Source organism: Homo sapiens, chromosome 7 (genome assembly GCF_000001405.40).
Source record: "Homo sapiens chromosome 7, GRCh38.p14 Primary Assembly".
NCBI classification, from domain to species: domain Eukaryota; kingdom Metazoa; phylum Chordata; class Mammalia; order Primates; family Hominidae; genus Homo; species Homo sapiens.
In genome coordinates this window covers 144182332-144196748 of record NC_000007.14, presented here as the reverse complement: position 1 = coordinate 144196748, position 14417 = coordinate 144182332, and the positions used below count along the sequence as shown (strand labels likewise).

At 45.1% G+C, this 14417-nt stretch overlaps 2 protein-coding genes and 1 long non-coding RNA gene across 4 annotated transcripts in view; 1 reads left to right on the top strand and 2 right to left on the bottom strand.

Moving 5' to 3' along the window:
* ARHGEF35-AS1 (ARHGEF35 antisense RNA 1) overlaps nucleotides 1-1428 on the bottom strand; it is a 104269-nt gene extending 102841 nt beyond the window's left edge. Inside the window, exon 1 of the long non-coding RNA NR_126022.1 lies at nucleotides 1048-1428. This is a non-coding gene — a long non-coding RNA (ARHGEF35 antisense RNA 1). The remainder of the gene's footprint in view (nucleotides 1-1047) is intronic.
* ARHGEF35 (Rho guanine nucleotide exchange factor 35) lies at nucleotides 870-10666 on the top strand. Of its 2 annotated transcripts, none has more exons than NM_001368318.1 (2): nucleotides 870-1027; nucleotides 8354-10666. In NM_001368318.1, the coding sequence occupies exon 2, from the start codon at nucleotides 8366-8368 to the stop codon at nucleotides 9818-9820; it is 1455 nt and encodes a 484-aa protein (NP_001355247.1). In that variant the 5' UTR covers nucleotides 870-1027; nucleotides 8354-8365; the 3' UTR covers nucleotides 9821-10666. The 2 variants fall into 2 exon arrangements, with proteins under 2 accessions (NP_001355247.1, NP_001003702.2); NM_001003702.3 differs by having other exon boundaries at nucleotides 916-1211.
* Nucleotides 10667-10668: 2 nt separating this feature from the next.
* Nucleotides 10669-13283, bottom strand: CTAGE4 (CTAGE family member 4). Its single transcript, NM_198495.3, has one exon. It carries the CDS (start codon nucleotides 13243-13245, stop codon nucleotides 10912-10914), a length of 2334 nt encoding a protein of 777 aa, NP_940897.2. The 5' UTR covers nucleotides 13246-13283; the 3' UTR covers nucleotides 10669-10911.
* Nucleotides 13284-14417: the final 1134 nt, after the last annotated feature.

Genomic DNA, 14417 nt, shown 5'->3' with positions numbered 1-14417 from the left:
AGGCCCTAGAAGGAACATACACCCTGAGATACGCACTCATTCTAAAATAAACTCGGGAATACAGAAGGACACGGGCATGTCCTTTCAGAGAGGCACACTTCTAGGCCCTAAGTAGGAGAAGGAAGAGGGGAGAGGAAGAGGCAGGGAGAGGGACAGGGAGGGGGGAGGAGGGAGGGAGAGAGAGAGAGAAACGAAGAAGGGGGCGGAGGAGGAGATGGAGGAGACACTCTTTATTCTATAGGAGGAGACATCACGGAAGAGAAATCAACACTGAGGCCTTGGCCGGGCGCGGTGGCTCACGCCTGTAATCCCAGCACTTTGGGAGGCCGAGGCGGGTGCATCACCTGAGGTCAGGAGTTTCCAGACCAGCCTGGCCAACATGGCGAAACCCGGCCTCTACTAAAAAATACAAAAATTAGCCGGGCATGGTGGCGCGGACCTGTAATCCCAGCTACTCGGGAGGCTGAGGCAGGAGAATCTCTTGAACCCGGAGACGGAGGTTGCAGTGAGCCGAGATCGCGCCATTGCACTCCAGCCTGGGCAACAGGGCGAGACTCCGTCTCAGAAAAAACAACAACAACAACAACAACGAACAAACCAAAAACCAATGAGGCCTGAAGATAAAGACACATGTACAACCACGGATGTCAGACTTCCAGAGGCACGGCCAAGGCAAAAGACAAACACATACAGACTGCAGCAGGCAGACAGGCCGGTTCCAGAGTCAGGCTCCGGTGAAGCTCCGAAGAAACAAACACGCAGGGAGATTTCGGAGGCGTCCGAGGACACCGTGGGGCCCGGCTGGCTCCCTCTGTCTCTGTGCGCGCCCCTTCCCCGGGTCACCCCGCCTGCGCCCGACCTGCGCCCGCGCACCGCGCCCTCGGGGCTCCCTGGGACAGCCCGCGGCCTGGCCCGTGCGCCCGGGCTCCCCTCTCCGCCGGCCCGGCACTTCCCAGCTCTGACGCGGGAGCTTCTTTCACACCAATGGGGCTCGCGCGCGGAGGGGCCCTGCCCCTCCTCCGGGAAGGTGTGTCCCTGTTTCCTCACCTGAAACTTCCTAGGAGAACCCGATCCCTCCCTCCCGTCGGGCGGCCAGGGGCGGGCCGCGGGTGGGGCGGCCGGGCCTGCGCTGGGGACGGCTCTGGGGACTGCGGCCGGCGCCGGGACCTGGAGGGGACGCTGGGGCCGAAGCAGCATGTGACACCGACCAGGTGGGTGCCCTCCTCCCGTCTCGGCCCTGGGCTCCCGGCGGCTGTGGAGCCCGGCGGAGGTGGGGCAGGGACAGGAAGGAAGAGGAAGCCAGGCCTTTCCCAGGGATCAGCCCCCGCTGGGTCCGGGGCGCAGGCTCCGGAAATGGGGGGGCTGGGCCCGCAGGCAGGGCTCGGGGTGTGTGGCTGAGGACCCTGGTGGGGAAGAGGAGAGGAACTAGAGGAAATGTTGTTGCCTACAAGTTTGCTTCCGGTCGGGTCCCGCCTAGGAAATGGGCACCCTGCCCCCAGACGTTCCCCGGGCCAATAATCAGGGCTCTTTCTTCAAAGTAGGCGCCCTGGGGAAAGCTAAGCCATATCAGAAGGAATAACTGAGATTCCCTTTCTAGGCTGTTCCTTACCTGGAGAGGTTTTATCGGCTCCTTTTCCTTAACCAGGCCGGGGCCTTTCCTTATGTATCTCCATAGGTATTTGCATACTGTGTGAGTCTATGTGTAGCTTCTCTCCGTGTTAACCAAAGCTCCGTAACCTGGAACAGTGAATCCTGCCCTGCCCCTCACCCCAGTTCCCTACATATGGGGAGCCTCCTAAAGCTTGATGTGAATCACAACGTTGCATTCTTAGCAAGGTGGAAAGAAGTTATTTAGAGTTGGGGGCTGAGGTAGGCGTTGGGGTGCTAGAATGCGGACGCAGAGCTCTAGAACCCCTGAGCATCTTTTGCAGTTGCCTTCCGGCAAGACTACCGGAGGAGAGCCAGTTGTGATACTACGTCATTTCCAGATCTCAGTCCCTTTCTTCCCTTCCTGGATCTTGGGTTCCAAAGACAGATTTGCCCTCCTGTCTACCTAGAAGTGAACTCTGGCCAGGACTCTTGTCTGGTTGAGAGAGAAGGGTGTGTCAAACAGATGAGAGAGGGTGGTTTTCCTTTCGAGCTTCCTCCCTAGCTTGCTCCCCTACTGCACTCCACTGTCTGGCCTTGCATCTTGGGCCTAATCCAGAGGTCCCAGCTCCAGCTAAAAAGCTCTTGATGTGGCCTCTGTCTCAGACGTCTTGTTTTATCCACATTTGGAGCATGAAGAAGTTCCTGGCATAGGCCTTAGCAAAATGGGTGTCATTTGTTAACCAATCTGTGGGCCTAAAAGTGAAGCCATGGCTAGTGAAGGAGTCCTGGGGAGCTGGGAAGATGGGATGAGGGCGTGTCAGTTCTGGGTGAGACTGATATGCAGGAGGAATGTATGTCATGGTCCTAGTGGGGAGGAGAGAGAAATCAGGAGGAGTGCAAAGGAATCCCTCTCATCAACAGAATATAGTGATTCTCAATAGAGAGAAGAGTGTTCATATATTAGAGGTCCTGAGAGTGTATCAGTGCCCTTAACGCGGTCTGTCTGAGGTTCCGTGGCCACGTTACACGTGGTGTCTGTGGGATAGACAGGAATACGTCATTTGTGGTGTCTGGAGAGGTCAGTCGCTATGTGGTATGGACAGGAATGGAGTCACTCGTAGGGTCTTGGGTTCAACGGGAGCAGCATTACTCAAGTGTCAGTGGTGTAGACAAACAGGTGACCAACAGCTCTAGTGTAGACAGGGGCTGGGTCACTCACAGTGTCTGTGGAGTAAGCAGGAGCCGATCACTTATAGTGCCTGCAAGGTAGACTGGAACAAAGTCACCCTCAAGGTCTATGTTAATACACAAACACGTCACTCACACTAATGTTATCTGTGTGGATGCCACCAGGACCACAGATGAGATTGTAGAGTGTAAGTCAGCATTGACACTAATAATGTTCTTATATAAACTATCTGGTCTATAAGGCAGTTGGTGTGACATTTTCAGACATTAGAGAATAGATAAATGTGTATTACAGCTTTCACTGGCATGGTGGGACTTTCCTGCAATGGATAGAACACACATTGTAGTAGTCAGTGGTCCAGAAAGCTACCCCTGTTTTGATATCTTTGTAGTATTGAGGGCAGTGATGTCAAACAGTGAATAAAGTTATATATCTATGTGGTGATCTTATTTTAACCTCAATATTATTTTAGTGATTTGTAAGTCAGAATATTTGAAATCAACCTTGCTAGAAAATCCAGGAAGCATGGTCCTCAAAAATATATATATGGCACTGAGTCTCAGTTCAAAGATTTGGCAGTTTGATTGGGGAGGGGTTGTATCCTTGAAATACAGTGTTGTTTCTAGTGACTAGAAATAGACAAGAGCTAAGGTGTTGGTGGGGGGGCTCTAGGGAAGATAGTGAGCTCTGTCACACATTATGTTAAAGGGATGACTTGAAGCTTTGCCTCTCAAGAAGTCACACGTGGGTGAGGTTATGTGGATGCAGAATGTCTGTGGTCTGAAGCAAGGCCGTATCCCCATAATCCCATGCCCTGGCTTTGCCTGTACACAGATAAACAGTGATTATTCACCCTCAGTGGAGAAGGAGATGAGGATGTTTGCACTCTAACGTAATGAGCATTGCAAAAAACTCTCTCCTGATGCCTTTACGTGAGTAAGACCATGATTTACAGATTTCCTTTCACTTTGTCACATTTTAGCTTTGTCATGCCTGATTGCAACGGGATCACTGAGATAGGATCAAGTATAGGGAACGTGGGGTATGTTCTCCCTTTGCGGTAACTGGTGGCTGAGCAGGTGACCACTGATATTTCCAAATGAAAAAAGACAGTTAGAAACGGTGTCAATGGGCTTGCAGAGGCAGGCATGCACTGTGCCACTAGATTGGAACAGAAAATGTCCAGGTAGCACATGGTATTTATAGATATACCCTAGATATGGCAGAAACACACTTTTATTTAGAGGCTACTTGTTTTGAAGACGTGATGGTGTATATGGAGGAGAGGGCCTGAACCATGCAGATGTAAGTGAGGAGAGACTACAGGTTTAGTCCCATGGTCTCCTTAGGCCAAGTTTCAGAAAGTGTCTTAAAGTAAGCAAGTATATTATTCGATGTGTGGTTGAGAGAACAGGGCCACATCACAGAATCACCCATAGGGATTATAGTATTTTGTACTTAAGGGCTAGACATAGGGAGCCAATCGCATATGGTGTCAGTTAACTGGAAAAGGACATAAAAGTCCTTCTGCCTGTGTACAATTATGTCAGACATATCTCTTTGCCCCATATAGATGGTATCTCTGTCTCTGGGATGGCCAGAATCTTGTCACATACTACTCTGCAGTGTGCTAGGGACCTGCCTGTTTGGTTATGTCAGGCTCTATTGCAAGAGTTTGTAAGGATGGCTCAGTGTGTGTGTGTGTGTGTGTGTGTGTGTGTGTGTGTGTGTGTGTGTGTACACACAGTGGCTAAGCAGGACAGTATTCTGAGCAGGTGAGTTTTCAGTTTAAGCCTGGACCAGACAAGAAAGGTGCACGGTCAGGTGCAGCATTGGGTCCATAGAATTCTGGGGTCTTCTCTGGACTGATGGCCTGCCAGCTTTCTTTCAGTAGGACCTCTAAGTGCTTACAGGAGACTTAAATCAAGCGACTTTGCTTCAGGTTTGCCCATACCATTTGCTTAGGAGATTTGAGCAAGGGTCTAGGGTCTTTGACCTTTAGTTTCTTCATCTGTAAATTGAGCAGTTTCTGTGTGTCTCTGAAGGTCCTTCCGGCTTTATGAATCCTGTGTTTCTCTCTTACACTTATTCTCTGTCTCTCAGGTCAACAGTATTTACCACAGCCACCATTTCTATGACCCTTAAAGATAGCAGTGTACATTTTTATGTTACCTTATTTAATCTTTACTAGAACTGTGAAGGAATCCTTTTATCTCCTTTTTAAAGATAAGAAAATGGATGTTCAAATAAATTTAATGGTTTCTACAATTGTCTTAAAACCAGCAAAGATACCAGAGAGGCACAACCAAACACTGATCCACACTCTTCTAACTCTATATTCTTCCGTCATTCATTCATACAATACATCTTTGTTGAGGGCCAACTAGGCTTCAGGCAGAGGGGGTTATATGGCAGTGTTTGTCCCTTCATGGTGCTCATAATCTAGCCTGGAAAATAGACATTAAATATGACATGACAAGTGCAAGGTGTGTTTGAGGAGAAGCAAAGGATTCTCTGTTGCAAAAGAGGATTCCAGGCAGAGGAGCAGTGTCTACAAAGGCCTACAGGTGAGAGACACAGAGAGAAGTGAGCTAAAGACACTGAAAGCCAGTGGGGGGGGGGGGGATGGGGGCAGGGACAGATGGTGACAGGTGAATAGGCTGCTAGAGAAGAAGGCAGAGCCAGGTTGTGCAGGGAGTATAACCCATGCTGAAGATTTAGATTTCATCTCAAGAGCATTCAGAGGCTGCTGAAGAATCTAAGCTAGAACTGGTGCTTTTGAAGCTCACTTAGGTGCTGTATGGAGAAAGGACTGGAATAACGTGAAATGGGTGGACGCCAGTGCCCAAGCTGTGGCCGGGTGCAGTGGCCCGGGCGAGACGGTAGCAGCATGCACCAGTGGAGAGGGATGGGATAGAAGTGGACAGTCTTAAGGGATATTTAGCAGACGAGGTCAATAGCACATGGTGATTGATTAGATATGGGGAATCTGGGCCAGGAGGGAAACAAGAATTTTATTTTATTTTAATTAATTAATTAATTTATTTAGAGACAGAGTCTCACTCTGTCACCTAGGCTGGAATGCAGTGATGTGATCTTGGCTCACTGCAGCCTCTGCCTCCTGGGCTCAAGGGATCCTCCCATCTCAGCCCCCAAGTAGCTGGAACTACAGGCACGTGCCACCATGCTCCACTAATTTTTGTATTTTTTGTGGAGACAGGGTTTCACCAGGTTGTCCAGGCTGGTCTCAAACTCCTAGATTCAAGCAGTCAACCTGCCTCAGCCTCCCAGAGTGTCAGGATTATATATATAAAGTGCATTGGGAAACTCAGTTTTTCATCTGTAAAATGGGCAGAATAATGGTACCCATCTTATACGATGACTCTTAGATGTATGGCACATACATATTTAAAGAAGCATTTCATTATTTTTAATGACATGTATGCAGGAAAACCTTAGTGTTTCAGAATGAAAAATAAGAAAAATTAATTTGTTGTGTATAGAGCTCTAAATGTTTAAAGTTCTGTGTAAACTGTTAATCATGATTTTAGGAAAAGGTGGGCATATTCCATTGAAGTAAAAGGATCACATTTTATTCTGACCTGAATTTTATTCTTTATGTGAAAAATATTTATTAAACACTGAGTATAGGCCACTATTAGGCTAAGTATGGATAATTCAGCAAGTCATAGTTCTTAATCTCATAAATTTTACTATCTATTGGTTGCAATAGAGGGTAACTCAAAATACACACATCATTATATAATTATAATTGTATAAATGCTACAAAGGAAAAGTAAAGTGAATTATAGTTGGTAAGTGCTACAAAGAGGGGTACAATTTAACCTACTTAAAAGATCAGGGGAGGCCAGGTGCAGTGGCTTACGCCTATAATCACAACACTTCGGGAGGCCGAGGCGGGTGGATAACGAGGTCAGGAGATTGAGACCATCCTGGCCAAAATGGTGAAACCCCGTCTCTACTAAAAGTACAAAAATTAGCTGGGTGTGGTGGCACACACCTATAGTCCCAGCTACTCGGGAGGCTGAGGCAGGAGAATCGCTTGAACCCGGAGGTGGAGGTTGCAATGACCCAAGATTGCACCACGGCACTCCAGCCTGGGTGACAGAGCAAGACTCCATCTCAAAAAAAAAAAAAAAAAAGAAAGAAAAAAAAAGACTGGAGGAAACTGAAGGGGTAAAACCAGGAAAATGTAATACCACAAGTAACAAGAGAGTATTTCTAACCTCAGTACTGTCAAATACTGACAAGAACCACCCAAAGTGAAGATCCATAAGGTCTTCTTTGGAATTAACAACATGTTGATTGTAGGGAATATTGGCAGAATGCCGCTATCAAAGCTCAGTTGGAGGCAGGTGGGATGTGAGAGTATGAAGACAGCAGATAAGAGCAACTCCTTCTAGTCATTTGAAAGATGAGAAGAATGTGGGAATGCTTCCATACCCCAGGGGTTGTTCAGCAGGGATGTTGAAGGTATGAGTGCACAGTGTTCCTGGGGAAGCAGGCAAGAAATGACAGAGCATGGAAAGGAGGGATACGTCTTTTCCTGACTGAGGGCGGAAGATAGAAAGAGTGGAAATACAGGTTGCTTTGGATCACAAGAAATTGAGGTGAGAGAAACCCAGTTCCATCAGTTTCTATTTTCTTTGCAAAATAGGAGATGAGGTGTTCTGCTGGAAGTGAGAAGAAAGGCAGGAAGGTCGAAATCAAAAGACAGGAAGGTCAAAAGAATTAATGAGAAGAGTTCATATGGATACTGAGGCCAAGGGGAGAGTAAGGTGATGCAGAAAGCACCCTTCTGTGGTCTTCCTTCAAGGTGGTAATGTGTCTAGTTCAACACTAATCCAATAAGGCTGTTATCATCCCACTTTACAACAGCTGCCTCTAGAATTGGAAACAAAACTGTTAGTTACAATGCTGTAGTAGACACTATGGAAAACAGAAAGATGAGTAAACTCCAAACCCTCTGTAAAGAAGATGAAACCATAGCACCTCACACATTGGCTATCATAGCCTGGCCTATTTTAACTGATGTCCACAGCTTAAGAGGAAGACCCTCTCCTGACACTGCTTCTCTGGCCTAATAGATCTGAGGTGTGTCCCTTGCTGTGTCTGGGGGTTATATGAGGATGAGTCACTCCTAGTGTCCGAAGAGTAGACAGGGAGAGACAGAAGATGACATAATGGAGTCTAGAGAGAACTGACAACTGGGAGCTTCTGGGCACTCTCTGACAATGGTCCTCTGCTATAATTTAATTGTTCATTATGACCTGTTTCCCTCACAAGACCACAGTCTCCATGACGACAAGATCTTTATCTCATTCACTACTGAATGCCCCACACTTAACAGGGTCGCTAGGAAAATATTTATGAAATAAATACATCAATGACAAGTTTTTTAGAGGCTATTGCTTATTTTGTTGAGAACCTGTTGTCTCAAAGAATGACCCTAAATGGAACCAAATAAATGCATCACTCTTCTTTTTTATGGTCTCTTCCTCTGATAGGTAAAAGCAGAGTTGTTAGAAACATTTGTCTTTGATTCCTCCTTAGGATTCAGCCCTGATGGAGGCTGAGGAGGCCCAGCATGGAGCCTCTCCTCCCATCTCTGCCATAGAGGAATTCAGCATTATCCCTGAGGCTCCCATGAGGAGCAGCCAGGTCTCTGCCTTGGGGCTTGAAGCTCAAGAAGATGAGGACCCATCCTATAAGTGGAGAGAGGAACACAGACTCTCAGCAACTCAGCAGAGTGAGTTAAGGGATGTGTGTGACTATGCGATTGAGACGATGCCCTCTTTTCCCAAGGAAGGTTCTGCAGATGTGGAGCCCAATCAGGAAAGCCTTGTGGCTGAGGCCTGTGACACTCCGGAACACTGGGAGGCAGTACCCCAGAGCCTAGCAGGCCGACAAGCAAGGACTCTAGCTCCCCCAGAGCTCTGGGCCTGCCCCATTCAGAGTGAGCATCTAGACATGGCCCCATTTTCCAGTGACCTGGGAAGCGAAGAAGAGGAGGTGGAATTTTGGCCAGGACTTACTTCTTTGACATTGGGATCTGGACAGGCAGAAGAAGAAGAGGAAACCTCTTCAGATAACTCTGGTCAGACCAGATATTATTCTCCCTGCGAAGAGCATCCTGCAGAGACCAACCAGAATGAAGGCGCTGAAAGTGGGACTATCAGGCAGGGGGAAGAGCTGCCATCTGAGGAGCTGCAGGAAAGTCAAGGGCTCTTGCATCCCCAGGAGGTCCAAGTTCTGGAGGAGCAGGGACAGCAGGAAGCAGGATTTCGGGGGGAAGGAACTCTGAGGGAGGATGTTTGTGCCGATGGGCTATTAGGGGAGGAACAGATGATAGAGCAGGTTAATGATGAAAAGGGAGAACAGAAGCAAAAACAGGAACAGGTACAAGATGTGATGCTTGGGAGACAAGGAGAAAGAATGGGGCTCACTGGGGAGCCAGAGGGTCTGAATGACGGTGAGTGGGAGCAGGAGGATATGGAGAGGAAGGCTCAGGGTCAGGGAGGTCCAGAACAGGGAGAAGAGAGGAAGAGGGAGCTGCAGGTGCCAGAAGAGAACAGGGCGGACTCTCAGGACGAAAAGAGTCAAACCTTTTTGGGAAAATCAGAGGAAGTAACTGGAAAGCAAGAAGATCATGGTATAAAGGAGAAAGGGGTCCCAGTCAGCGGGCAGGAGGCGAAAGAGCCAGAGAGTTGGGATGGGGGCAGGCTGGGGGCAGTGGGAAGAGCGAGGAGCAGGGAAGAGGAGAATGAGCATCATGGGCCTTCAATGCCCGCTCTGATAGCCCCTGAGGACTCTCCTCACTGTGACCTGTTTCCAGGTGCCTCATATCTCGTGACTCAGATTCCCGGGACTCAGACAGAGTCCAGGGCTGAGGAACTGTCCCCCGCAGCTCTGTCTCCCTTGCTAGAGCCCATCAGATGCTCTCACCAGCCCATTTCTCTACTGGGCTCCTTTTTGACTGAGGAGTCACCTGACAAGGAAAAACTTCTATCAGTACTTTGATATGTCACAGTTTCATGTTTATCCAGTTCAATGTATTTTTAAATTTTTCCTTGAGACTTCTTTGACTGATAGATTATTGTGAAGTGTGTTTTTAAATTTCCAAATGTTTAGGGATTTTCATATCTTTCTTATGCTGATTTCCAATTGGATTCCCTACAATGATTTCTGGTTTTCATCTGCTCTGGATGATTACTATCTCTTTTAAATTTGTTGTGGCGAGTTTTAGGGCCTAGGACAGCTCTATCTTGCCATGTGTTTCGTCAGCACTCAAAAAAAATATGTGTATTCTGCTGTTACTGTGTGGAATATTCTGTAAATGCCAAATAGATTCTTTTGGTTAATGGCATTTTGAGTTGTTTTATATTCTTGTTGATTTTCTTTTTTTTCCTCTTTTTAAAAACATGAAATGCTTCACAAAATTTTGTGTAATCTATATTCAAGAACCATTTTAATCTTGTTGGCATCATTCTGATTTTAGAAAGTGCTGCCAAAGCCAACACTCCTTGCTGATTTTCTGTCTAGTTCTATCAATTATTGAAAAAGGCATGAGGAAATTTCTAACTATAATTGTGGATTCATCTATATCTCCTTTCAGTTTTCTTTTTTTAAAAAAAATCAATGAAAATTTATTAAATTAAGCATAAAGTTACTTTCACATTTATCTACAACCACAGTGAATACAGTTCTTGGCATGAAGACACCACAACCTTTAGAATTTAAAGCCTCCTCACCTGCAAGATTACATATATAAAACTCCCACTATTGTTTCTCTAAGAGTGGATTAGTTCACCAAGTTAAAAGTTATATGATCTAGAATATAATAAAATGGAAATGATTTACTCATAAGATTCATATTCAAACCATCTTTATTTACGAAATACTATCCTGAGAACTATTATTCCATTAAACTTCAATTTGAGAAAAGTGCAATCACTTAAGTAACAGCAGTTACTTAAACTGAAAATGAGATCAGTCAAAATTACTTTTGAAGAAAGCAACAATATTGTCAGGTTTCTTGCTGTGGTTCTGGATGTCCAGTAGCAGGCTCCTTTGAAGGCGGAATCAATCCTGAAGGGAACTCGCTTCTACCTTCAGAATGTGGGGTTGGGGTAAAATCCAGGTCTCGGATGAAGGTAAGGAGGTAAACCCCTCGGTGGATAGATGTTTCTCATTGCAAATGGAGCATGTGGTGGACCTGGGAAATCCCTTGGTGGAAAATAACCTCGAGAAGCTCCAAACATGGTTCCTGGAGGAGGTGGGGGGAAAGGAGGTCCTCTTCTCATGAACGGGCCCCTTGTATCCACTGGAAACAATGGACCGCTGATTGGAGCAAGAGGTGGAGGAATAAGGCCAGGGCCAGTTGCTTCATTTTCAGCAGGGAGAGATGAATCAGGCACATTTAAATTACCAAGATCATCTTTGGCATCATTTCTACTGGATTCCATTTCTGAAGGCATTGACCTATCCATTTTATCCAAAGAAGTCATTTTAAAACTTCTGGGTTCTGCTGGTCCAGACAGTCTTTCAGAATTAGAATAAAATCTGTCTTCCCTTTGTGGAGGAAGAGTTGAATCAGGATATGATTGCCCTGGTGGAGGAAACATCATCCTACGGTCCTGTTCCACCGGAGATGACAGGGACCCAGTGTCAGAAGGAGCCCTGTGAGGATCGATTAACCTGTCATAGCTTGGTTCTCCTCTTTCATTGGTAATCTGATGGTCCAGGGGATTCCCTGGGCTGCTTGGGCCTCTTCCTCCTCCCCCTGGAAGCACAGGTGAGAGTCTGAGTGGATCCTCCAACAAAGTTTGAGGAGAGGGAAAAGCTCTCGTTTCAGATGAAGGCCGACCCAATGGTGAGGGACTACATGGGGAATGCTCTCTGCCAAATGCTGTATTTGAAACATCGAGTGCATTAGGATCTTTTTCTAAAAGTTCAAATTTCAACTCTGTTTCAGTTAATTTTTGTTTGTTGTGAGCATTTTCTTTCCTTAAATCACTGAGGTTTCTTTCAGCAGTCCGAGCTGCCAACCAATTATCATGTCCTCTTTTCTCGTAGGAAATAACCTGCTTTTGATAAAAATGAACAGTTCTCTCCAATTCTTCTTCAAGATCTTTGGCTAGCTTTCTATAGGTCTCCAGCCCTTCAGTGGCACGGCTGATCTTTTCTTCCACTCTAGAAAGCTTCTCTTCTTCCTCTATTCGGTAATTTTCCTCCACTGTTAATTTCCTGTAGAGTTTCATTTCATTTTCTTGATAGAATTCAGTCATTATTTTAAGTTTCTGTTGAAGCTTCTGATTCTCACTTTCAAAATATATGTTTTCTGATTGCAAAGATGCTTGTTGAGTCTGAAGATTTTTAATATGCTCTGTAAGCTCTTCCTTTGTTTTGTCCACTTCAGATAACTGAATAATAATGTGGTTTCTTTCTCCTTCTAAGCTTTTTAAAGAAACATTTAACTTAGCAGCATGAATCAGTTTCTTCAAAGCTCCTTTCAGAGGATCATCTAAGTTAGCACCATTTTCCCATTGACTGTTCACTTCTAATTCCAGGTTATCATCATCCGTTGTGTCTTCTTCAAGCACAGCAGCCTGATCTTTCATCATTGGCAAGTGTCCAGTCAGGGTCTTGATGTGATTTTCTTTATCATTCAGAACTTGTTCTGCGTGCACTTTGGAGTCTTCAAATGTTATTTTCTGTTTATTAAGTTCACTCACTTCTCCTTTCCATACTTCAGCTTCTTGCTGAAAAAGCTGTTTATGGCTTGTCTGAAGTTGAGAATTTTCATTCAAAGCATCTTTTATTGCTATAGCCCGTCGTTCTTCACTCATTTTAAATGTCTTGCAGATGATTTTGGCTTCAGCTATTTGTGATTTGAGGGATTTTGACTCATCTTCTAGAGACTGTATACTTTTTGAAATATCCGCCATCAATTCATCTTGTTGAGAATGTTTAGATTTCTCTTCTTTTAAGTCTTTTTCTAGACAGAGGATTTCATCCTCAAGTTCAGAATTGGACCTGTTCAGCTTTTCACAGGTTGCCTCCAAACTTCGTGCTTCTTCTGCTGCCGCCTTCTCAAAGCTGGCATCCTCTAAAGATGACTCTACTTCATAGCCTTCATACTCTTTTTGAATAAGGCTAAACTTTTCAAGTAGTTTACATTTTTCTTCAATTAGTCCAGAAAGCGTTGCACCAAGTTTTTGCTCTCTTCCCACGTAAAGCCGACTCCTAACCGATCTAAAACTTCTCCACAAAAAAAGGAGAACAACAAAAAATCCAATAACAGCTGCACATACCACCAGTTCCGATGGAAAACCATAAGGATTCTCATCTGGTCTCATACTCTCAGGTAGTGCTGCCACAACTCTGCGTAGCTCCTCCAGGACCAGCCCCAGGTAGGGCTGAGGGGTAGCACCAGGCTCCTCCATAGCGTCGAGGCTGCTCTGGCGGTCACCGCAGTAACACTGGCCACAACAAGCGGTGGAGAACACGCAGCCTTGGGTCTGGAACCCGAATGCGCACGTGACAACCAACCGGAGCGGACCACTGTGGAGCGGGCTGCGGGGGGAGCTGGGGAACGCGGGCACCCACAGGCCTCACAGGCCCATGTTGTCCCCCACCACCTCCCCTGGCCCTCTTGTTACACTTCACATCCTGAGGCAGCGCTGGTCTGAGCCCGGCCCGCCTTAGTTCTGGCAGTTTTCACATCACATATTTTGAAGCTTTATTTTTTGGTGAATACACTTTTAAAATTGCTGTCTTCTTCATGGATTAAACCTTTGATCATTATATAATCTCTGGTTTTGGAAGTTTTCTTTGCTTTATCTGATATGCACACAGACACTCTTGCTTTCCTTTCATTAATGTTTGTGTAATATATCTTTTTTCATCCTGTTAATTTGGCCTGCCCTGTATTGGTAAAATTCAAGTGAGTTTCTTGTACACAGCATACAAGAAACATACAAGAAAGGGTCATACTTTTAAATACACTCTTCTATTATCTATCTCTTGGTAGACCATTCATAATTAAATGAATTATTGATACTTTAATGCGTAAGCCTGACATTTTTTGTTTTCTCTATCAATTCTTGTTTCTCTGCTTATTTTTCATGACTTCATGTGGGTTACTTGAACATTTGTTTTAGAATTCCATTTTGTTATTTATAGTGTTTATAGTGTATCTTCTTTTTTATAGTTTTTTTGGTTGCATTTTATAGCTTAGTGGTTGCATTTTACAGCTTAGTGTATATTCATTTATATAAACATTATCACAGTCAATTGGTATCATCTTTATTCCAGTCTGAGTGAAGTATAGCAACCTTCTGTCATATTATGTCTCTTTACTCTATCAAATTTGTAGTATAATTGTCTTACATCCATTTAGAATAACACTAGACAATGCTATGATTTTTGCTTGAAACATCAAACATAATTTAGGAAATTAGAATCTATGAAAATAAAGTGAGCATTTTAAAGCTTCCAGAAAGAAATCTGACACAACCTGTTTTGTCTTTCATTTTTTCTTTCTTTCCTTTATATTCATCATAGATGTTATGATGCCCTATCTGTTAACTCCAATATCTGGATTATCTATGAGTTT

Excerpts from the sequence above, each read along its gene's own strand:
- ARHGEF35 (NM_001368318.1), top strand. The coding sequence starts at position 8,366 with ATGGAGGCTGAGGAGGCCCAGCATGGAGCCTCTCCTCCCATCTCTGCC.
- CTAGE4 (NM_198495.3), bottom strand. The coding sequence starts at position 13,245 with ATGGAGGAGCCTGGTGCTACCCCTCAGCCCTACCTGGGGCTGGTCCTG.